This window comes from Homo sapiens, chromosome 3 (genome assembly GCF_000001405.40).
Source record: "Homo sapiens chromosome 3, GRCh38.p14 Primary Assembly".
Classification (NCBI taxonomy): domain Eukaryota; kingdom Metazoa; phylum Chordata; class Mammalia; order Primates; family Hominidae; genus Homo; species Homo sapiens.
Window position 1 is genome coordinate 176,361,711 of NC_000003.12, and position 26,358 is coordinate 176,388,068.

General features: G+C 34.9%; 1 long non-coding RNA gene across 1 annotated transcript; it reads left to right on the forward strand.

Annotated features, from left to right (window-relative positions):
* The first annotated feature begins 1,010 nt into the window (after positions 1–1,010).
* Positions 1,011–18,997, forward strand: LOC124909460 (uncharacterized). The gene is made up of 2 exons (XR_007096175.1): positions 1,011–1,085; positions 18,289–18,997. It is a non-coding gene; the product is annotated as an uncharacterized LOC124909460 (long non-coding RNA).
* The last annotated feature ends 7,361 nt before the right edge of the window (positions 18,998–26,358 follow it).

The following is a 26,358-nucleotide window of genomic DNA, read 5'->3' on the forward strand; positions in this document are numbered from 1 at the left end:
CCACTCTGTGGAAGGGGACCAGCCTGGCGGCTGGGCTAGTCCCCAGCCGGCTGGGCTAGTCCCCAGCCGGCTGGGCTAGTCCCCAGCCGGCTGGGCTAGTCCCCAGCCGGCTGGGCTAGTCCCCAGCCGGCTGGGCTAGCCTGCTTTTATTCCCTTATCTGGACCTACCTACATCCTGCTGTTTGGTCCATTTTACAGAGAGCTGATTGGTCTGTTTTACAGAGCGCTGAATGTTCCTTTTTGACAGGGTGCTGATTGGTGCATTTACAATCCCTGAGCTAGACACAAAAGTTCTCCATGTCCCCACTAGATGAGCTAGATACAGAGCACTGATTGGTGCATTTACACACCTTGAGCTAGACACAGAGTGCTGATTGGTGTATTTACAATCCCTTAGCTAAACATAAAGGTTCTCCAAGTCCCCACTAGACTCAGCAGCCCAGCTGGCTTCACGTAGTGGATCCTGCACTGGGGTCGCAGGCGGAGCTGCCCGCTAGTCCGGCACCTTGCGCCCGCACTTCTCAGCCATTGGGCAGTTAATGGGACCGGCGCCGCGGAGCAGGGGGCGGCGCTGGTCGGGGAGGTTTGGGCAGCGCAGGAGCCCACTGCGGGGGCGAGGCTTGGGCATGGCGGGCTGCAGGTCCTGAGCCCTGCCCTGTGGAGAGGCAGCTGAGGCTCAGCAAGAATTCGAGTGCAGCGCTGGTGGGCCGGCACTGCTGGGGGACCCGGCGCACCCTCCGCAGCTGCTGGCCCGGGTGGTAAGCCCCTCACTGCCCGGGGCCCGCGCCGCCGGCGGGCGGCTCAGAGTGCGGGGCCCTCTGAACCCACACCCACCCGGAACTTGCGCTGGCCCGAGAGTGCCGCTCGCAGCCCCGGTTGCCGCCCACGCCCCTCCCTCCACACCTCCCTGCAAGCAGAGGGAGCTGGCTCCGGCCTCGGCCAGCCCAATGAGGGGCTCCCACAGTGCAGCGCGGGGCTGAAGGGCTCCTCAAGCGCTGCCAGAGTGGGCGCAAAGGCCAAGGAGGCGCCGAGAGCAAGGAGCAAGCGAGGGCTGAGGGCTGCCAGCAAGCTGTCACCTCTCAAAGGTAAGATTGAGGAACTGTTACAAATTGAAGAAGACTAAGGACTAAATGCAATGAGGGATTCTAAACTGAAATCTTCTGTCATGTGTAAATTACATGACAAAATTTTTAGGGAAATTGGAAAAATTAGAATGGGAACTAAGGATTAGGTAGTCATATGTATCATTGTTAAGTTTCTGGTTTTGATAGTTATGGTTATTAAGGAGGATACAACTTGTTTTTTGTGCTAAAAACTATGTCCTACTACTACTAAATGCTACTAAGAGCTATTAAAAACACAACCACTATGGAAAACAGTGTGGAGGTTCCTTAAAGAACTAAAAGTAGATCTACCATTTGATCCAGCAATTCTACTACTAGGTATCTATCTACCCAGTGGAAAAGATGTCATTACATGAAAAAGATACTTGCACATGCATGTTTATAGCAGCACAATTTGCAGTTGCAAAATATCGAACTAGCTCAAATGACCATCAATCAACTAGTGGATAAAGAAAAAAATATATATATATATACCGCATTTTCTTTATCCACTAGTTGATATATGTATATATATGTGTGTATATATATATATGAGTACTACAGCCATAAAAAGGAATGAAATAATGGCATTCACAGCAACCTGAATGGAATTGAAGAGTATCATTCTAAGTGAAGTATCTCAGGAATAGAAAAACAAACATCATATGTAGGCGTAAGTGGGAGCTAAGCTGTGAGGATGCAAAGGCATAAGAATGATACAGTGGGCATTGGGGATTCGGGGAAAGGGTGGGTGTAGGTGAGGGATAAAAGACTACACATTGGGTACTGTGTACACTGCTCAGGTGATGGGTGCAACAAAATCTCAGAAATCACAACTAAAGAACTTATTCATGTAATCAAACACCACTTGATCCCTAAAAACCTATTAAAATTAAAAATAAATTTTAAAAAAAGGAAAATTGAAGTTTGTCAACATAAAAAGACAGAGTATAGTACAATAAGTGTAATAAAATAGCAAACAAATCCAGAATGTTAACAAACCCTGATATAGACTATGTTTTAAAAATGAATAAAATGCAGGTGACCTTGAATGACAACAATTAAAAAAAAAAAAACCTATGTTCTTATTTCTAGGACTAAAGTATTGGAGTGTTAAATGGTATTAGGTTGTCAATTTCATCTCAAATTAGTCAGAAAAAAAATGTTCCTTGTCCAGTACATCCAACTTGTTTATGTTTAAAATTGTTACAAAGTTAATAAGAATACTATTTACTAGCATTATGAAATGTAAAATATCCTGAAGTATATCACTGTCACAATACACGCAAATAAAATTATAATACAATTACTATTTATTTCATGTACAGTTTATCTACCTAGTTAAGTATTATGATTCTAGATAGAAATCAAATATCATCTTTTTAGGTAAAAGGCAAATCAACCACTTTAAAATAAAAATACAGAAACAACTTAATTGTGTCAAGTAATTGTATCAGATTGTAAGATGCATAAGGGACTTGGTTCAATTTTTCAATTTTTCTCCTGTGCTTTGCACTTAGAAATAAGGACATAGCTATTTCAATTCCCTTCACACACCACATTGTAATTATGAGTTTCCTTGTCTGTCCACCATATTGTGAGTACCTGAAGGGCAGAATCCTTGTCTTACTCAGCTTTGCACAGCTGGGGCTTATAACATCTGCTAAAAAAAAAAAAAAAGAAACCATTTATTAAACTGTTGCTATTTTCATGAACTTTTGTTAACAGCCTGATGAGCTTGGGAATGATCATTGCTACCTGAAATGAATGAGCTGTGCAAATGGAAGATATTCTCAGGGCTCATGACCACACCTGAAGCAGGTATAAATGCAGGAGTGGATGAGAAAATCTATATATTGACACAAAGTGAAGCGGAAAATTTAGAGTAACATAGCAATCAATTTTTTAATCTATAGGTTATATATATATATTTGCGTTCTCCTTATCCTCTTCTATGAGAACTGCCTTTCCCTTAGCGGTAAGACCCTGAGACTACTATATGCGCTATATGGCTCTCCGGGCCATAGGTTATTTGGCAGAAAATGAACACCTAATAGAGAGTATCTCTAGAGATTTGGCTAGGCCAATTAAATTCTGTCTTCCAGGAATTCAGAACAAGGATAAGAGAAGTGTAGACACTGGACCAGTGAATATAGATATAGAAGCTAAGAAAACTGACCAGAGAAAAGAGGAAAAAAAGGGAGGGGAAGAGCAGAAAGACCAATAAGTCTTTCTGTGAAGAAATTGTAGAAGTGCTGCCCAAATTTTCAGGGTTGTTGGAGTCCCAGCCTCACTTCCTGTCCTTGGCTTTAATGTGATGTCCTTTTATCTTTCCAATACAATGATTCTTTTTTGTGCTATAGGTGTTTCAAATGAGATTTGTTCCTTATAATCAAAGTATTTCCTTATAATCAAAGTATTGCTGATCAAGAAATTAGTGCAGTATACACATAGCCAACATCTATCAAATGCAATGATTGCTGAACCAGACTAAGCAGGGAAAGTAATAAAAGTAGTAATAACAATGAGAACACAAAATCAACTCAACTGAAGCTACCAAGTGATTTAATCAACTGAGACAAAAGCTTTGTTGTAGAATCTCTGGGCAATATCAATATTAATAACTTGGAGGCGATTGGTAATGTTATCAAGAATTATTTTAGTGGAATCCTGGGGCCAGGTAACAAAGTGAATTCTATAGTGAATAAGAGGTTTAAATGAGCTCTGCTGTTCTATAGCACTGTAGCATGACTATAGTTAACAATATTATATTATATAGTTTCAAATAGCCAAAGGAGGAAATTGAATGTTCCCAAAACAGATAATAAATGTTTGAGATGACAGATATGTTAATTACCCTGGTGTGATCATTTACATTGTATGTATCAAACTATCACTATGCACCCCATAAATATTTACAACTATTATTTGTTAATAAAAAAAGAAAAAAGTTTAAAATATTGAAGTAAGTTTAGACAAATTTTATATCATTTTTAGATATGGAGAGGAGGTAGAGTGGGATTGGAGAATACATAAAGAGTTTTTATGGCTTTTGTGTTTGAGGACTGACACAACACAAAGTTTAGATGTACAAGAGATAAAAAGTATAATTGATAGTGCATGATTCATTCAAAACAAGTGTTTACTGTATGCCCACTTATGTGCTGAGCTTTATTCTAGGAGCTAGAGATGTGGCAGTAACTACGAGGTCACCTTTGTCGTGAAGCCCACAATCTAGTATGCAAAGCGGACAATAAAGAAATATATGTCAGTTCAGATCAAGATTTTGGAGGAAAAAATAAGCATTTCAAAGTTAAGCAGAAATATAGAGTGTGTGGGGAGGAGGTGTTAGTTTAGGTGCTGCATAGTTAGGGAGGTATGGGTAAGGTGATACCTTTCCATCAAGAACTGAATGGAGTTATGGAGCCAAGTAAATATCCAGGGGGAAGTTTCAAGTAGAAAGTATAGAAAGTACAAGTGACCTGAAAGAAGATAATATTCTGAGGCATCTAAACAAAGTAAGTTTGGCTGCAGCACTCTGCAAATTAGAGAGCGGTGAGAAGTCATAGAGGTGGCCAAAAACTAGATTTTGTAGGACTTTGAGGAGTCTTGTAAATTTTTTTTTTATTATTCTGAGTAAAATAAAAAGCCATTGGAGTTTTTTAAATTTGGTTATAACAGACAAAAAGTGAGGAAAATATGCCTGTAGCTTGGTGAATTTTGCACATATGCTATGTAACTACCACATTAAGCAAGTATACAACATTTGTAGCAGTCCAAAAGATTCTCTTCCTATTTAATAGTTCATTTTTTTTCAAAGGCAATTACTATTTTGATTTCTATTAAAAAGATTAGTTTCTCTTGTTCCTGATCTTCACAGGGAAGATGAAGTAGGTAATTTTTGTTTTCACATTTTGGCAACATAGCATCTTTGATGTTTTTTATGTTTTGCGTGTATTTTTTATGTTGCCAAAAGGTATTCCTTATATAAAATGTGATATATATAATTATAAAATGTGATATAATTATATATATATCTTCAATTTTTGGCATTCGGGTCGCTCCTGGCTTGAGCTTTATGATGAATAAAGCTGTCAGGAATATGCTTGCACATGTCCGTTGGTGTACACATGCACACATGCACTCATTTTTAATAGGTCTGTAACAGGGATTGCTTGATTGTTGGGTATGTTTCAACTTGGAAAAAAAAAAACTACCAAAAGACTTTCAAAAATGATTTTACTAATTTATATTCCACCCAGAAATGTGTCCGTTTCAGTTGCTGCCTGTTTTTGCTAACACTTGATATTACTAGGCTCTTTAATTTTGGCCATTATTTTGAATGTTTATTAGTACTGCTTTGTGGTTTTAGTTTTCTTTTTCCTTCTTTTTTTTTTTTTTTTGGATGACTGTTGGGCACCTTTTCATGTGCAAAGTGTCAAATTAAATGTTTTATTTTTTGAATCATCTGTTCATGGGTTTTTGCTGACTTTTGTTTATTAGGATTTTTTCTGTTTTGTCTTTTAAAATTCATTTATAGAAGTTCTTTTTATATTTTGTATGCAAATCATTTGTGAGATATATATTACCAAAATCTGTTCTGAGCATGTGTCTCGCTTTTTCACATTTTTAATGATGTCTTTTAATAGACAGAAGTTTTTACTTTAATTAAGATCAATTTTTTTCTCTTATAGTTTGTGCTTTTTGTGTCTTATTCTTAAAAGTTATGCCTACTCTAGAGCTTCAAAGATACTGTTTCTTTAATACAAGCTTTATTATTTACTTTACATATTCATATATGTAATCCATTTGTGTGAGTCTTGTGTATGGACTGGTCACAGCCAAAGTTCATTTGTTTCATATGGATATCCAGTTGATCCAGAATTATTTATTGAAAAAGCATCCTGTACCACTTTGTTGTACATTAAATGAATATGTATATGGAATTTCTGTTCTGTTTCCTTATTTGTTCATCATTATAATATCACAGCATCTTAATTTCATTTTTTATGATAAGCTTTGAAAATTTATCAATGTAAATCTTGTGGTTTGTTCTTCTCTAAGATTGTCTTGTCTATTCTATGTCCTTTGCATTTCTATATACATTTTGGAATCTACTTACAAACTTTTACACACACACATATTAACACAAACATTCTCAAAGGAAAAAGAAACCTGCTGTAATTTTTACCAAAATTATACTAATTCAACAACTTAATTTGAGTGCCACTGACATCTCTATAATATTGAGTCTTTCAATCCATAAGCATGGTAAACCTCTACATTATTTAGGGAGTCACTAATTTCTCTCAACAATATTTTGCAGTTTTTAGTGTAGAAGTCTTGCATATCTTTAATAAGATGGTTTTTTGTTATTGTAAATAATATAGTTTAATTTCATTTTGTAATCTGTTGCTTGTGTATTAAAATATTATTGACTTTTTTGTATAGACTTTGTATCTTTTGTATATTGACCTTGTATCTATGAACATACTACCTCAAATTCTTTCATATTGATCTTGCTAATTTACTTAATAATTCTCATGGCTTTTTGTAGAGTCTTTGGATTTTTCATTTATACAATATTGTCATTTGCAAATAATGAAAGTTTAGCTTCTTTCAAAAATGTATCCCTTATATGTTTTCACGCCTTGTTGCCCTGCCTAGAATTGACAAAGATTTTAAGTAGTGAAGTCATAGAATTAAAATATTTTTGCTACTATGAGATAAATGGGCCAATAGAAACAAGAATGGAGGAAGAGACCCCAATTAATTTCCTATTTCAATAGTGCAGGCCAGTGATGGTGTCACTGTATAGGTGTACAGAAGTAATCACATTTTAAATATACTTTGAATGTAGTCAGTAGGCGTTTCTGATATATATAATAGTATATGATCGTAAGACGAATTCTGAAAACTTCCAGATCTTCTTGTTGTTGTTACTTGACTGAGCATCTGAGTAACAGGAATTGCATATTACCAAGATGAAAATACTGGGAAGATGAGGTTACAAGAGTAGAAACAAAAATTGCATATTCAGTTTTGAACATTAATTTGGAGATTCTTACCAGATTTCTTAGTAGATAGGTTGAGCTGGTAGTTAGATACAACAATCTAAAGTTTAGGAGGGAGGTTTTTGAGTTCTGTAAATATATATTTGGAAGTCATCAGCGTATGTGTTATTTGAAACTGTTGAGTATTTGAAATAAGTGTAAAGAGGAGGAATAGTATAAAAACATAGCTGTGGGACACTCTGACACTTTTTGGCTTGTTCCTTTTCATACAGTAAAGCAAAACAAATAGGAGCAGCCATTAAGGTAGGAGAAACCCCAGGAAATTATGTTTATCCCAGTAACTAATAGAGGAAAGTGTTTAAAAGGTAAAAGGAATTACCAACTATGTCATATGATGCTGATAGTTCTACCAAAGTGAGGACTGACAAATGACCATTGAATTATTTCTTTGAGGTTGTCAAATAAGTGCAATTGAAAATCAGATTGGCAAATCTTCCCACCAAAAAGTAGTTCTACTTAACGATAAAGACCACCTATCACAAGTAGAATCAATAACTTGGTATCAAGGAACTCAGTTTCCTCCTCTATAAATGCCAACAGATTTTTTAAAGTTAGCAAAACAATGATAAATGTTTAAATCAGTAAAAGTTTCAAAGTGGTAGTTATATTTTCCTGTTCATCATCTTCACATTTGGGCAAAGTTTGTCTTAATTCCCGAAATCTTTTCAGTTTGCATTTTCCCCAGCTTTAAGTGTCCTCTCCTTCACCCAAAGCAACAGATATTCTATGATGACCAAATGGCATTGCCTTTTGCCTATTCACACTGAAATGTAGAGTTTATTTTATCCCTTCGTCCAGAAGCATTTGCATTTTGAAAGAGAATCACTGAGTTGGAAGCAACTTTAATACACATGAATTCACCACCAATGATATAATTTCAGTCATTCTGCTGGTTGGTTTTGTGGGTGTTTTTTGTGCCAGTTGGCAACCATTTGTTAAAATAAGTGCAAACATTCATGAAGAACTGAGGCACAAACTGTCAATATCCTAATACTATGTATCTTTTAAAATTTATAGAGTTCTTATGTAGACAAGCCATCAAGCTACACCTAAGCCTCAATCTAATTCTCATAATAAAGAATGATATTTTTCTTATTCAGTCTTGCGAATAAGAAAAAATCATCTTGATTTAATTCTGTAAGACTAACTCCTGATTTCCTTCATTCTTTCCACATATATTTCTAATTACAAGAAAGCATATACATTGGAAATATTATTTAGGTCTGTCATTAACTTAGATTAAGATATGCCTACCTTTAAATGACCATATTTACCAGTTTTGTGAATATGACCCCCAAATAATTGTCAGGAAAATTGCCACTGATTTTTGTTATTGATTCAGATATCATTTGCACATTATCCTCAAATGTTCTCTTTTACAAAATTTGCTCATGCAAAAGTTCAGGTAGGTATAATCCAGCTCAATATATTCCCTTCTTCTTTCACTAATTCTTCTCCTTGAACCCATTGCCAAAGACTAATATAGTTTAGGTTAATACAAATAATCTAATTTAATAAAAATAACCTTAATCAAATAAGTTTAATCAAAGAGGTAGTCTAGGGAGTATGATAGGGAGATTGACCTCAAACATCTGAAGATCAAAGTTAGCTCGTTGGAATAATGTAAAAAATCTCATTCTCATTTTAGAGTAGGATAATGATTAAGTATAAGCCACAGATGTGTTGTATAATGTAAGAGATATGATTTTTTTTCTGCTACACCAGTGCAGCTCCTGGTCAGACTTTAGGGACGAGATAATTAGAATATCTTGTAAGAAATCTAATTTTTCTACACATTTTGCACAAGCCCAATATGTCACTTAATTAAGACCCTGGAGTATTTATGTTTACTTTAAGAAATTATAAAAATTCAACAAGAAAACAAGAAAAACTTAGCAAAGCTCAACTGGAGCTGACTTATATAAAATATTTCCAAATATAGATCATAGAATACTTCCTAATACTCATTCATATTCCTCTGTAAGTATATTTCCATTAACCAAAATGAAGTTTACATTAGGAAAAAAGATGTGTTTAAAATGCAGATTCATCTTGCTTTGTTAGGAATATAGAAGCCTTGAATATTTTTTTTCCTGAGGAAATGGTATGAAACAAATAAAAAAAGTTCTATTAAATGCAGAGAAGATAGTCAAGTTATTTGTCACCTAAAATGAGTTGTGTTTTTTGTTTTTGTTTTTCCAAATTCAGGAATTATCTTCTGAAATACTATTTAAAAGTCTATTATAGAGATATTTGTAAAGAGTCATAGATAAGGATGTTCAGACTCTAAACCTTTTTCAGAATAATGTAACTGACCTTCCACAGAAAGGGAAGAGGCAACCCTTAGTAATAAAGTTAATTTTAACCTAATTTCTGCAACTTCCTTTGAAATAGCAGCTTCTTGGGAATTGCTGTTATAGGACAAACCCAGACATTTGGTTCCCAAAATTATACCTAAACCTTCTCAACTTTAGAAACAGTAAGACTACAGTTATTTTGAATACTTCAATAATTGAATTGAAGATGATAAATCCAATATAAAACACTCTGTGGAGGTATTGTTATTCATATCAACTAAATGAATTTTTCAGAAATTATAATTAATTACTTAGCTAAAAAAAAGTAATAGTAGAGCTGTATTACTGGTCCTGGAAGTGTGAGGTAAAAACATTAAAACCTGTACAGGGAGAGGGAGAGATTACTTAAAAGTTTTATGCAAGAATTCCCGATAACAAAACCAGACAATGGCACAGCAAACAAAGAAAACCACAGGCCAATATCTCTGATGAACATAGACATAAGAATAAATCCTCAACAAAATCCTAGTAAGCTGAATCCAGCAGCACATCAAAAAAATAATACAGCATGATCAAGTGGGTTTTACTTCAGGAATGCAAGGATAATTCAGCATACACAAATCAATAAATGTCATATATATCCATATAATAAAGGACAAAAACCATATGCTCATCACCATAGATGCAGAAAAAGCTCTTGATAAAATTCAACATCCTTCATGAGGAAAACTCTTAATTATGTATAGAAAGAAAATACCTCAACATAATAAAAGCCATATAGGACAAACTCACAGCTAACATCTTACTGAGTGGGAGAAAATCTAAAAGTATTTTCTCTAAGAACTGGAATAAAACAAGGATGCCCACTCTAACCACTCATATTTAACATAGTAGTGGAAGTCCTAGCAGAGCAATTAGTCAAAAGAAAGAAGTAAAGGACAACCGAATTGTAAAGGAAAAAGTCAAGTTGTCCCTGTTTGCAGATAACATGATATTCTATATAGAAAAACCTAAAGACTCTACCAGAAAACGTGAAATTAATCAATGAATTCAGTAAAGTTGCAGAATATAAAAATAATATACAAAAATTAGTAGTATGAACTAATTTTTGTATATTATTGAACAACAAACTGGCTGAAAAATCAAGAAGGCAATTCCATTTACAATAACTACAAAATAAAATACCTGGGAATAAATTTAACCAAGGAGGTGAAAAAACCTCTACAAGAAAAACTACAAAACACTGATGAAAGAAATTGAAGAGGATATAAGCAAATGGAAAGACATCCCATGCTCATGGATTGAAAGAATTCATATTGTTGAAATGACCATATTACTCAATGTGATTTACACATTCAATACAATCCCTATCAAAATACCAATGATATTCTTCACATAAACATTTTTCAAAAATTGAAAATGTGTATGAAATTACAAAAGACTCTGAATAGCCAAAGCAATCTAGAGCAGAAAGAACAAAGCTGGAAGTATTATATAACAGACTTCAAAATATACAACAAAGTTGTAGTAACCAAAACATCATGGCACTGGCATAAAAAGAGGCACATAGAACAATGGCATAGAATAGAGGACCCAGAAATTAATCCGCATATCTACAGCCAACTGACTTGAGAAAGCTTCCAAGAACACTCACTGGGAAAAAGACAGTCTATTTGATAAATGATTCTGGGAAAACTGGATGTTTGTGTACAGAAGAATACTAGATCCCCACCTCTTACTCTATACAAAAATCAACTCAGAATTCATTTTGCAAGACCTGAAATGATAAAACTGTTAGAAGATGACACAGGGAAATGCTTCACAACATTGGACTGGAAAAAGGTTTCATGAATAAGACCTCAAAAGCAGGGGCATCAAAAGCAAAAATAAAATTAAATTATATCAAACTAAAAGCTTCTGCACAGCAAAAGAAACAATCAACATAGTGAAAAGACAATCTACAGAAATGGAAGAAAGTATATGCAAACTACTCATCCAACAAGGGACGAATATCCAGAATACACAAAGAACTCAAGCATCTTAACAGAAAAAAAAAGCCAACAATCTGATTAAAAAATGGGTAAATGATCTGAGCAGACATTTCTCAAAAGAAGACATATAAGTGGCCAGCCAAATATCTGAAAGAGAAGTTCAACATCACTAATCATCAGGGAAATGCAAATCAAAACCACAATGAGGTATCATCTCACTCCAGTTAGGATGGCTATTATCAGAAAGGCAATATCAAATGCTGGTGAGGATGCAGAGAAAAGGGAACCCTTACCACCGTTGGTGGGAATGCAAACTAGTACAGCCACTATGGAGAACAGTATAGAGGTCCCTTTAAAAACTACCAATAGAATTACCATATGATCCAGCAATCCCACTACTGGAAATTTATCTGAAAAAAGGAATTCATTGTATCAGACAGACATTTGGACCCCCATGTTTATTGCAGCAGTATTCACAATAGCCAAGATATGGAATTAACCTAGGTGTCCAAAAACAGATGAATGGATAAAGAAAATGTGTTATGTATATACACAAAAGAATACTACTCAGCTATAAAAAGAATGAAGTCCTGTCGTTCACAGCAACATGGATGGAACTACAGGACATTATGCTAAGTTGAATAAGCCAGAAACAGAAAGTTAAACACTGAATGTTCTCACTCATGTGAAAGCTAAAAATGTTGACCTAATAGAAGTGAAAAGTAGAACAGAGGGTGCTAGAATCTGGGACTGATAAGGGGAAAGGAGGGATAAGATGAGACTTGTTAAAGGATACATAATTACAGCTAGCTAGGAGGGATAAGTTTTACTGTTCTATACTACTATAAGATAACAATAGTTAACAACAATGTATAGTTTCAAATAGCTAGAAGGGTAATATTGAATGTTTCCAACACAAATAAATGACAAATGCTTGAGATGATGAATATGCTAATTACTCTAAGCTGTTTACCGTACATTATACTTACTGAAACTTCACTATGTACCCCATCAATATGTACAATTAAAAAATAAAATAAAATAATTTTAAATAAAGGGAAACCAATACCAAAACACATAATACAGAAATTTCTGAACTCAAAAATTAAAAGATACCTAAGGACAGATGGAGAAAAAAGACAGATGGAATAAAATAGATCATTTATCAGGTATTCATGCTCACTTTCATGGAAGCAGTATACTTCCCTGCTCTATTAATGCTAGTATTCTCTGTGTGTCTTCTTTTTGTCTCATGATAGACAGAACATAACTCATCAACCATTATTTTGGACTCAACCTTATGATTTGTTTTTCCAATAGTCGTTAACAGGAGTGTCCCCAAATACAGAGAAAATGTAATTGAAAAGTCAGGCATGGCTTCTCACACTTTTTCCTTTCCCTGTGAAAAGAACACATCCTGGATAGTCTACTTATTCAAGAAGAATGAGGAACAGCAGACTTGCACTTGACCTGCATGGGAACCAAACTCAGCAGATCACAGACTTTATCAACAGACCCACTCTTTCCCACCTCCTGACAATTCCGCAAGAATGTGTGATTGCTTTTTAGACACTACACTTGTAGTGGTTTATTATACAATTTTGTTGAGGCAAAAGATAACCAAGGTAGACATGGACTAGAAGTGGGTTGCTTCTTTAACAAAAACCTAACAGTGGATTTAGGACCAGGTATTACTCCACAAGGAAGTCATTATAGAAGCCTGGAGAAATGATGAGAACTGTGGTGAGAAGCTGAAAAAGTGACAACCTATGTTATGGAGTAGAAAAACATTTGATAAAAATGTGTGAGATTATATTAAAGATAAAGTATGGATATGACAAGTTTATAGTTGAGGAGTGGAATCTTAGACAAGATGTAAAAAGCATGCTCTGTTTGGTTTTTGTTAGGTTGCTTGATTTATTTTATTCCATTTTTTTACCAGCTGCATTTGATAAGAAATTGCAAGGAAGAGATACGGTAAGGAAATAACCCAGTTTGTAAGCAAAATTTAGTGAGTATATAAGAAGCCAATTAATTTCAGCTTGAAAGATGAAGTTATTTTCTACCAAATCGAAGGTGTGACCATTATGCTTTGGCTCTATGTAAAGGACCAAAGCCAGGGCTTTGGCAGTAAAATAAGACTTCAGGGTAAAAATTCAAGGGTGAGGCTATAAGACCCTTTGCTATTCACAAACTCAAGCTTGTTGTGATTCTCAACTTGATGAGGTGCCTCTAAACTTTATTCATGAAATTTCTGTATCATTAGTGATCTTGTCTTTACTGGGCTGAAAGTTTGCCATTAACTTTCACAAAAGACATAGCAGCTATATTCGTTTCCTAGGGCTGTCATAACAAATTACCACAAGCTGGTGGCTTCAAACAGCAGAAATGTATTCTCACAGTTCTGGATGCTAAAAATCTAAAATCTAGGTGTTGGCAGGAGCATGGCGCCTCAAAAGGCTCCAGGGAAGAATCCTCTCCTGACTCTCCCTAGCTTGTGGTGACTCTTGTTAAACCTTGGCATTCTTTGATTTGTGGTAACCTCTCTCCAAGGTACTGAGTTGATGAACAACTGGTTGTATGCAATTTGGCATTTCTGGATCATAAAGCCCATAGGAGGGGCTGATGAGAGATGATACTGGAGAATTGAGCAATAGCTAGAGAATAGAGGGACTTGAATGCCACATTAGCAGTATGGACTTTCTCTTTTGAATATTGGATGGTTACAGAACAATCATAAGCAAAGAATGTGACATAATATGATCTACTTAACAGATTTCAGTCCCCACAAATCTAAAAGTGGCCTACTTCCCTTCATCTCTACATAAAAGAAAAGTATGCTCCTCAGAGTTGCGTTATCCTCACCACACTCTCATTTTAATTAATGAACGCATCAGATGGGGCTCTTTCACAATTCTGACCAAGAGATACCATATAATTACTCTATCCTGAGTAGTCATAAAAATATACATAATTTAAATAAGAATATATAATTGTAAAATTATAAATTTTATATTTTATATGTAAAAATTATATAATCTTACTTGAATTATTGTATAATTTTATATGTAATATTTACCTTAGTATCAATGTCATGCTCTTTATTGCATCAGTTCCTCCTTTCTTATATGTGTATGAATACAAATTGTTTTATGCTTGTTTCATTATTTTAAGTATTCAAGGATAAACTTGCACAACAATAAGTTTGCATTATCAACCTAGAGAAAAGTCTTTTGATTATGCTTTTTAAATTCAAAGAACAAATTCATGGAGTTACTGAAGAGTCAAATCACCTTGTATTTTGCAAAAAAATTTACATTACAAATACAAGTAAAATAATCATAAATATATTGCTACACATTGCAATGTGACAATGTCACTTTTTTCTTCCTATGAAAAAGAATGAGTCACACACTAAAATAGAATTGTTAAAATATTCTTTTTCTGAATCTCCATCAGGCTCAATGCAGGTGCAATTGGCCTCTTGTGTTCTCAGAAAAAAGAAGCAAGTGGCCAATTAAACTGGGAATGAGCCCATTGAATGGTCAATTTTTGGCAGGCATTAACTTGCAGATGTAAAAAATTGGCTCTAACCTACTCAGAAAACCATGACATGCACAAAGAAGTAAACAGGAGAGGACACCTTGAAATTGGTTTGGTCTCTTATAACTAGCAAGAGAGAAAATAAAATGAACAGTTTTCTCACTCACAGATGTCTTTGCATAAAACTATGGTTTTCAGAACAATTTTATTTTAATGTTATTGATAAGTGTGACCACCTCTTCTGGTTATGTATATGATTTACGAATAAAATCACAAACAGTGAGGGGGAAAAAAAACAGGGAAATAAACTAATGCTTAGTCTCCTCAGTACCAAAGAATCCATTTGATAGTGTTAGAAGTTTGGTAAGTTGGAGTCATAGCTCATTATGCCTTTTGACAGAATACAACTTTAACCCCTTCCCTCCTTAGTGACAATAATATTCAAACACTTTTCTTGCTATCAGCAGTAATTGAATATCTATTCCAATAAAAGGGTGTGTGTGTATGTATGTGTGTACATGTATGTATGTGTTTGGGAATTTGGATGAGGCAGATAGTCATATTCAAATGTGGAGTATAACTAGACCAAAAAATCTTACTTCCTGACATATTTTAAACAATGCCCTCATTTTTTTCCAACACCTGAGTCCAAGAACGCTCTAAAAGGCTATCTTCAGTGTTATACATTGAGATCCTGTAAAGCCTTATTTGGAACTTCTAAAGAATTAAGGATCAACCAAACATGATGAAGAGGCAAAGATACAAGTATCAGACACAGCAATTAGGAAAGAATCCTGGGATCTATTAGCTTAAGCTTGTAAGTGAGCAAGTTTATACGCACACAGTGAATAAAGATAGCTGTCTTTCAGTGTGGCTTAATACTTGTAGTTACTGGTGGCATTCAGCAAAGAGCACACATCCTTTTCAATTCTTTCAGTAAAGAGATCTGTTAATCAGAAATCCTGCCTTTCACCTTTAACCTTGACCCTAATTCTATGAATGTTTGCAAGTCACATCACTTCTTTGTCTCAACTTCCTCATTTATAAAATTAAGGTGTCAAACTCAATGATTTAAAAAATCTCATCCACCTGTTACATTCAGTGATTCTACACTTAGCAAAAAGAAGCATATGTGTCTTCCATATTACCTAAATGAACTCGGGTATTCAAGAAATTTATAGAATAGTTTTTATTTAAAATAAACTCCAGCATAATTTTTAATTAAATTTAAAATGCACATATTGGCTAAACCAGTGTTTTATTGAATCAGAAAATTATTTAATTACTCATTCATTACTTGATGTCATTGTAGAACACCCCTGCCAGTGAATGCAAATAGTAAGTTATAGACTTCCATTGATCCATAATGCATACCCTCTAAAGGCAATCTGTTCCTTCCTCAGACTATTTGGACTCAACATTTTTCTTATATTTAGCTGAAGCTTAGCTCCCTATGGCTTCTACTCATTTCTCCTGGCTCTAATGCTTTGGAAGGCTATACATAATGTGTTTAATCCCTCTTCTCCATGACAACTCTTAAAGTATTTGAAGATAGCAATCATATCTTCTCTAATCTATCTGCAGTTCTCTCAATGACTCTGAATATGAGAGTTACATGTTCCCTTATCCTTATCCTCTGAATGTGTTTCTATCCCACTTAACACGAGGGTCCAAGCACAAAAACTAGACAGTTTGATAAGTGCCAAGGAAAGCAGTTCTTTCTGTCCTTATTGTGGGCAAATTATTAGTAAAAGTTGAAGAGTAATTACCTTACATTATTTGCTCATATCAGGTTTATAATGTACCAAATTAAAATCTTCTTCAGTGTCTCCTGGTTACACCCATTTTTTTCTGCTTATATTTGTACAATTGGTTAAAAACGGAAGAAAAAAGATGTATAAACAAAGTAAAGAGGTTCTTCTTGTGTAAATACTCGCCATAGCTTATAATCGCTTGTCCCTACAAAAGAGCTTTGGAGAGACAGTTCACTGAAGCATATTGGCCTAACTGTGATGCAAAGAAACTCTATTTGTTCTCTGATTCTTGCTAAGTGATATCTGGGGCTATTTAAAAATGAAAATGTTTTAATTTCATCTTGGAGGTTTGGTATTCTGTTTGGTTTTTCTTTTTTCTTTTTTTTAAACTGAAAAAACTAAGAATTCTTCAGGGTATACTTTCAACAGATACCACTTTCTCTTTTAACTCTCTACACGTGTTGTAAAAGAATAAGCAGAGTAGAAACAAATGCCCAGTTTTAGCTGTGTGTCACACAGGCCTGAAGCTTTCATGGGAGATAATGGCACATTACACAATAACAAATACGAAAGCTTTCCACATTTCAGTCACTGGGAACAAAAAGCAGTAGCATTGTCTCTTTGAAATGTCTAAAACATGACAATCTTAGTAGTTAATGAAACATAAATACTTTTTCTTGTCCAAAAGTACACTCAGAAAGCTAGTGCTGATAATGAGACTTTCTACAGTGCAATCCCTGGGCTTTTGATGTGGTAGAGTGGTTATACATCTATAACATGAAGAAAGGATGCATTACTTTGTCAACAATTTACCACAAAATAAAAAGCAGTGTACAAACAACACAAACTTAGTGTTCATCAAATTATCTTGTATAGTCATGAATGTTTTCAAAATCAAAATGTTTATTTCCCCCAAAAGTCTTAATGTTTATTTTGAAAGAAAGTCACACAACTTTTGAATTTGACATTTAGGGCAGGCAAGTCAAATTTTTAAAATTTAAATGAGAAGCATTAGATATTTGAGATAAATGATGATCAAAAGGAAGCAACCAAAATGAAGTTTATTTTGTACAATCTGCAAACTGAGTTATATGATAGCAAGAAAAGCAGACTCGGAGTAGTTGCTTTTCTCTACTATGTCTACCAGTGGTTTGTTTAATTTACATACATCACCTTAATGGTAACAATAATCCTGGTCATAACTGCTCTCCAAACACACTGTTTTCCAGTCCCTGACTTTTGACAAAGCCCACACTAAACTTTCATTAGCAACAAGAGTTTTCTATAATCTTGGCAAGACTTATAATCCTTGTCCTTCAGAGAATTGTGAAAATCTCTTCTACAGATTGTCTTTTCTCCCACTCCGCTTCAGTGCAAGAGGAGAGCTTACATCAACGTGTTAAACCTAAACCCCTTGAGTTGAGTCTGACCATATCTCAACTCTGAAGATCCTTTAGTGTCACCACAAAGGTCAGCATTTTGTAACATTATTCATTTCTCTTATTTAAATTCTCTTCTTTCTCCAGCAGTGTGATGGAGGCAGCAAAATGTGTGGAACCGTCATTATGAAGAAGGCAATGCTCTCCTGCACCAGGGAGCTCTTCACCCCACAACTACAGAGCTCCTGTCTTCCAAGGTTCCCGAACTGTTCTGGGAAGTGCTCCTAATCACCTGAGGTTTACATACAAACAACCCCAGGACATTTCATTTAGCTACCAATGTCATGATTACCAAAAATTAATTAACAATATGGTGGTCGTCATCACATCTGAGTCACCAAATCAAAATTCAGGACACATTTCCATGCAAAGTGCAGCCTTCTTCTTACGTTTCATAATTGTCATTTCAAATGAGATCTTGGTTGGAAACAATTGCTTAACTGTTTCAAGGTATACTGGGTTATCACTAACTCATTTCTGTAAAGCAGAATACAAGACCTCAACCTGTTAGAGATCCTTTGTTGATTAACAAGCTGATTAATAAGCTGATTGTTCTCCTGATTTAAGGCCTATACCAAAATTCTTGAAGCTCAATTTGCACCACAGAGTACGCCAATATGTTTGAGTGAACTGGCTCTGGCTCTCCGAAGCTGTTTTGTAAAGACAAGAGACTATAAGCCATGGTGAGTAGTTATACATGAAGAACCTCAATTAATGCCTTACATATGGCATGAGGAGACTAGAAATTTTCTTGTTAATGGGGCAGGGGTATAATAATAAATATCTTGGCAAATGAGAAGGGTCAAACTGTTTATGGTTAAGAACACAAATTTTGAGCCAAAATACATGGATTTGAATCCCTGCTATACCCCATTATTAGCTATGTGACTTCAGGCAAGTTATTTAAGGTTGCTGTGCCACATTTCCATCCACCTGTAAAATGGGGATAATATTTATAGAAGTTAAAAACTAGCTAGCACTTGTTAAAGTGTTATCTAACACATTTATGAAGAAATCAGCAGAAAGATAAAGTAGCTGGAAAGGAAGATTTAAGTCGAATTGCAAATTGCATGTAGTGTTCACTAGGTTAACTTTCAACAGAGCTATAAAACCATATCACCTTTAGAGTTAATATATCTCCATGGCTATCAAATTATAAAAACTCTTTAATTTCTGCACGTCAATCTCTTGACCTCAAAGGACCATAAACCATCCACACACTTTTCAGTTGTTGATTGTTAGCCAAGCAAAGTTACATTCTCAGCATGTGTCAGATGATGCTCAAATGGGCTTATTGGAAAATGACCTAGCATGACATTTTAAAAATCAAGCAATAATCATTTATCTCATCTCTAAATTTAGGATAAATATTTTTAGTAGCCTTGCCATGATTTTCATGCCAATTTATATTTGTAAAGCACTTTGAAAAGTGTCTGGCACAAGGTTAAGTAAAATACTCAGTAATTAGGCAGTAGTAAAAAGATATGGCCTATAGAATCTGTACTATTTTAAAAGAGCTTACGTCATTTGTCTGAAATAATTTTTAAGGATGCCACAGGAATGGTTTGGTTGTAGACCCCACTCCATAAATCAAGTTTCCCTGAGGGAAAAAATTAAGCAACAGAATAGAAGACAGAAATAGAGAAAAGAACTACTCAAAACGAATTTGAATGCCGTAATAGGATAATCATTTATATTTGGAGACAAAAATGCTAAGAGTTATATTAGAATATTCCAGAGAGACAGAACCAGTAGGATAGATGATAGAGAGATAGACAGATAGATAGATAGATAGATAGATAGATAGATAGATAGATAGATAGACAGACAGACAGACAGATAGATGATGCATAGATAGATAAATGATAGATGACGGATGGATGGGTAGGTAGATAGACAGACAGACAGATGAGAGGGGATTTATCTGGGGAGTTGACTCATGTGATTGATTATGGAGGCTGAGAACCCCACAATAGGACATCTGTAAGCTGGAGACTTGGGATGCTGGTTGCATGGCTCAGTCTAAGTTCAAAAGCATCAGAACCAGGGAAGCCAATGACATAACTCTCAATCTGAGGCTAAAGGCCCAAAAACCCAAGGAGATACTGGTATAAGTATCAGAGTCCAAAAGCCAGAGAACCTTGTGTGCTGATGTCCAAGAACAGGAGAGGAAGGGTGCTGTAGCTCCAGGAGAGAGAGAGTAAATTTTCTTAGGTGGTGCAAAAGTAATTGTGGTTCTTGCCATTGAAATTAATAGCAAAAACTGCAATTACTTTTGCACCAACCTAATGCTTTCCTCTTGCTTTTTGTTCTATCCAGGTTCCCAGTCAATTGTCCACCTACACTGAGGTCAGATCTTCCCCATTCAGTCTACCGACTCACACATCAATCTTCTCTGGAAAACATCCTCACAGAAACATCCAGAAACAATACTTTACCAGTTGTCTAGGTATACCTTAATCCAGTCAAGCTGACATCTCAAATTAGCCACCACAAATACATTTTTTTTCCAAAATATCTAGGCACTACTAGATAAGCATATTTTTAAAATGTTTTCTTCCCACTGTGTAAACTTAGAAAATAATAGAGAGATTTACAAAGCTATGCTATATTCACGATCCATTAAAATAATATATATTTTATGAGAGAGACTTTTGCTGCTACCAACATTCCAAAACCCTCTTTACCTCAAACAATGTTAAAGATGGTATTTGTTTAATATTGGAAAAGGATTATGCCACAACCACTTAATCAAAATCTTGTTTAGTGTCAGTATCTATTCAATTTTGCATGTCCCAGCTTGATGGAAACTAACTACCTCACAGCACTCCATAAATATTTATATCGTAATCCATTATTGATATCTTACAAACATTTTACTATAGCTTGCTAATGGCTGCAACATGACAGTTCTGGATGGAACTGAACAATTATTTTAATTTTATTTCCATAGGAGATGCTTTGCACATGTAAAAACAAAAATGCCAGTTTAATTGGGGTACTTACTACCAACACAAAACAAAAGCATAGTATCTAAAATCAAGTCCTGAAAATGAATGAAAAAATGTTTTCAAGAATTTTTTAACACGAAAATTACAATTCCCTATTATGTTAAAATCTCTCACACTTGTATTACAACCTATCATACTCAGATAATTTATTTAAATCTCAAAGTATCACTATAATATAGGAAATATTTCAATGTTCCCACTTTCCAAATGAAGAAAATGAGCAGTACAGAAAACTTTAATGACTTACGCAAAGGCACACAGCTATCTGGGACTAAAATAAGAGCTTTTGCCTCTTATGCTCATGACACCAATAACTTAGCCTCTTGCCACAAGTGTATCCTCCTTTATATATATTTCTTACCTTACACATATGCTAAAAGCTTCACCTGTATGACATATATAAAATTATTCTTGTACACCTCCTAAATGAAGGTATACAAGCCATCCTAATATGTACCTAGTGTGTGAGTTTATTTCAGTCTTTACTCATCTGTTTTCTGTTTTAGACTGTCAGTTCACTGAACCAGAGTTAGTATTTTTGAAAAGCAGGATAGGTAGTTTTCAGCATCAGATGGATAAAGATGAGGTCAAGTCAAAAAGAGCAGCATGTGTGCAGAACGTGAGAGCAACAGAGGAAACAGACCTGTAGGTGTTCAGATTCTAAATCTGCCATTTACTCGTCGTGTGATAGTCAATAACTTATTTTCCTGAAGCATCAGTATTAAATGAGGTAATGTAATATAAGTGCTTAGCACAAGCATAACACAGAGTAAATTTTCAGTTAATTAAATGATAATTGATGCTTTTACACACAAAAAAAACCACTTATTGTATTTAGAGTTTATAACAAAGAGAGCTATTTATTATCTGTTCAAGGAAAGAAGATTTATGTATTATTATTCCTATTAAAGATTATACCATCTCATGTATTGTGAAAGCTGACCAGTAGTGGTGAAAAGTCTTCCCATATGTATAATCCTTTATAAAACATATTTATTTCCATTTTTCATTTGAGCCACTGAAAAGTTCTGTGAATTTAGTTTATTTTTTATCATCATCATCATCATCATTTCCATACTTAAATTGAGCAGACTGAGTTTAGAAGAGGTAAAGTAATAGGCTCAAATTCTTTCACCCAATCTCTACACCAAATCAGTTGCCAGCATGTTTCTCATTTTCTGAATTTTTGATAGTGCTGGATGTAAAACCTGACATGAGTTGTATAGCAACAAATAACCACAATAAAATCATCAGCCAGGTTTCTTTTAAGCTCCCACAATCCCATCATGTTCATTAATTTTTAACATAATTCACTTTAAACAGAATTTTCTAATGGGTAAGAAAGAGTTAGGAGGGTATTCACCAAGACATCTTTTGTCAGCCTATGGCAAACCAGTTTAATTTATTCTTTGGTCAACCTCAGTGCCACGTTTTCAGTTATTTTTTAAGACTACCACAACGGACTTGTAGACATGTGTTTGAAAAAATGTGATTCTCAATTCACAATAGCATAATGAAGAGGTAATAGTACTGAAAAGAAATCAGAAGCATTCCCTTTAGCCAGTTATCAAGATGCAATATAGAAATATGATTATGGGCCGGGCGCGGTGGCTCACGCCTGTAATCCCAGCACTTTGGGAGGCCGAGGCGGGCGGATCACGAGGTCAGGAGATCGAGACCATCCTGGCTAACACGGTGAAACCCCGTCTCTACTAAAAATACAAAAAATTAGCCGGGCGTGGTGGCGGGCGCCTGTAGTCCCAGCTACTCGGGAGGCTGAGGCAGGTGAATGGCGTGAACCCGGGAGGCGGAGCTTGCAGTGAGCCGAGATCGCGCCACTGCACTCCAGCCTGGGCGACAGAGCAAGACTCCGTCTCAAAAAAAAAAAAAAAAAAAAAAGAAATATGATTATGTAGAACCATAAACGTGCTCTACTGCATTCATCCTCACTTAGTTGATATCTATTCAGTCAGACTTCCTCACACCATTTAAGGCTTTAATGGAGTGTATGGTTATATGTGACTTCTCTACGGATTCTTAATCTGTAGCAATCATCTGCTAAGATCTCCAAATCCTCACAAGCCTAGTTTTTGTTTTCCCTTAAGTATGCAGCCAGTATCACATATTTTAAAAGGCCATAAAATCAACCTCATTCTTTGCTTCTTTTAGAGAAATGTGACACTCGAAATTCTCTGCTTCTCTCCTTTGCCTCTATTGTACATTCATGGCTTTTTGAAACCTAACCCTTTCAATTTACAGATGAGGAAATTGAGGCCCAGAGAAGTGGTATGAGTACAAACCAAATATAACTGGTATGTAGCAGAGACAGAATATTGACCCAAGTCTACTGTTTCCAAGAGCCATGTGTTCTCTGCTGCTACATGATCAGAAATTAAAGGAATGAGAACTAAAAAACTTTCACTACTGGGGCTATTGAATGCTGTATTAGAACTCAGAAAGTTTTGGTCTTGGGCATAATCGAAGTATCTTGCTTAATTATTCCTTTTTCAGTAAGCTCTAGCCTCTCTTTGCCATATCTAAATCCACCAGAGATCAAGAAAGACAAGGAGAAAGTTACAAGGAAAAGAGAAAGAAAAACGGGAAAAATAATTTAAGAAACCCTATGTATGTTTATGTCTTGTCCAATAACAGGTGAATGATTTAGCAAAGCAAAACAATAAAGTGACAGCTATGAAGAAAGTGCAGATATTCTTTGGAAAACACATTTTTCTGATAAACATAGAAATGGTCAAAAGCAGTAATCTAAACAGCATGGACATAAGTGTTCTCACTGTGTGTGTGGGATTTTGTGTGTGTGGATGGATGGTTGGATAGATAGATATATGCATGCATACATATATATATGCATATGTACATATATATATGCATATGTACATATATATGCATATGTACATATATACCTGCACAGATATAGCTGACCAGAAGTAAATGAAACAAGCCAAAACAAAATGAAGATATAATAATTAGAGGTGAACTTATTCAATTTTAAAATGTTGTATGTTATTACTATAATATATACTAAATAAAATTAACACTTCTTCAAAAATAGTTCTTAAATCTTTTTGGGGGTAGGGGGTGAGTCTACATAAGGAGATTTATTGATGGTTCAGATAATTATCTATAAATAACATTATTTTTGTGTGCTTATAGTTATCAAAAGCCTGAGGAAGAGTGAAAAGAACAAAGCAAAATAAGTTTTAACCTTTGTTAAAATATAATTTATGACAAGAATAGCCTAACTCCATATATTTTTTAAAAGAAAAAATTACATCACCAGAAAATAAGAAACGTCATGCAGTGATTACTGATGGATTATGAATAAAAGGGCTTAAATTTTCAAAAGCAGAATTTAATCACCAGGAGGAAAAGAATACTTGTATAACATAAGGAAATTTGCAGTGCTGATGAAATGCTTACCATTTTGAAATGTTGAGTGCTTTGACCTGGGGTGATATAGAAAGCAGTTTATCACATTTGCATAGTAAATAATTAAAAACAAAGGTAAACAATTATTTTGTATATTTTGGCAGATGCTTTGAAATCACTGTTCAAACCTCCAATATTTTTCTACACATGGAAAGAATGACTCATAGGAGGCTCTATCAAAAGATATTTTTTGATTACCAAGGAGAATTACCAAAGATAAAGTCATTCCTGCCATTCAGTGGCTCTGGAAACCACACACCACTCATTTCTTTTTCCGTACCTAATATGCAATCTCCAGTCATTTTTATCCATCTAAATGTTATTCTTCCTCAAGATTCAACTCAAGTTCCACCTCTCTGATTATGCACAAGCAAACATGCACACACAACACACACACAGGTCTTTTATCTAAACTTTGTTGCTTTTTTTGTCTTTATGCATATTGAATATTTCCATGCGCTGTTAGTTATGCTTAGAAGTGCGTAGGTCTAACTATAGCATACTGGAGCCTCTTTATTAGGTCTGGACAGTATCTTATGTCTTTGTATTTCCCCAGTCCCTTGTACAAAGTAGGTGCTTTGTCTACATGAGAAGGAAATAAAGATGATAAGAGTCTTGGAATTTAAACTGAGATCTGAATATTTAAAATTGAGAGAGGCATTTAAACTCTTTGCACATCAAAACAGAATTTTCATGCTGGTTTGCTAGCCAATGTAGCCCATGTCGTTGTTCTGAAGATAAATTAGGAAACGTCTATGAACTGATTTTTCAAAACTATAAAAAATAGATCTTTTATAGAAGCAGAGTCTTAATCCTCTAGAGAAAATAACTCAGGCTACAGAGACAAACAGACATGGATTTTCTCAGGGCTTCTGCCACTTAGTAGCAGGATCCACTCACAACCCCATCATAATCTATAACATTGTAATAATAATACATATCTAGTGGGATGCTGTGAGGATTAGTAGCTCACAGAGTCTGGAAAGCTATCAGTAAATGGCAGATTTATCATTATCCTTGAGATATAAGGTATTATAATAATTATTATTATAGATGCCAATATCCAAAAAGAGATATGCTGCAGAACACTGCAAATGCAATCTAAAACATCACCAGAAGTTTGTGGATTACAAGCCTTCATGCCATATTTGTTCTCTTTAAATTGAAATACAAGCATAAATGGTCAATTCAATTAACACTCAGTAATTGGGCAACAATTGATAAAAAGAAATAAACTCTGGTTTTATGTTGCTTTTAATCTACATGTATGTGCTTAACCCTTCTATACATCAAAAACGTGTAGGATTTTATAAAATGCTGAATCCCAAGCCCCATAACAGATATACCAATTATCCACCTACCAATCATCAAAATTGGTGGGAACTCAGAAAGTTCTGGCTATTTCTAAGTTTAATAATATCTGAAAAGGGTATCTTTAAAGGTTTAATCATTCTAAATTTAAAGGTAAGGCAAGATCCCCATATTACAATGAGGATCTATAAGGAAATACGTAACATTGTTTTGGACATTGTAGAGGTTAAAGAAGTTGTATTATAATAACAAACTTTTAAAACTTTTACATTGTGTCATTATTAATAGTATTCTTATTATTACTATTATCGTTGTTATTATAAGTATGTGTGCATATGGGTGCCTTTCAAAGCATCAAAAAATAAATCTTTTCATTTGTTACTTCACT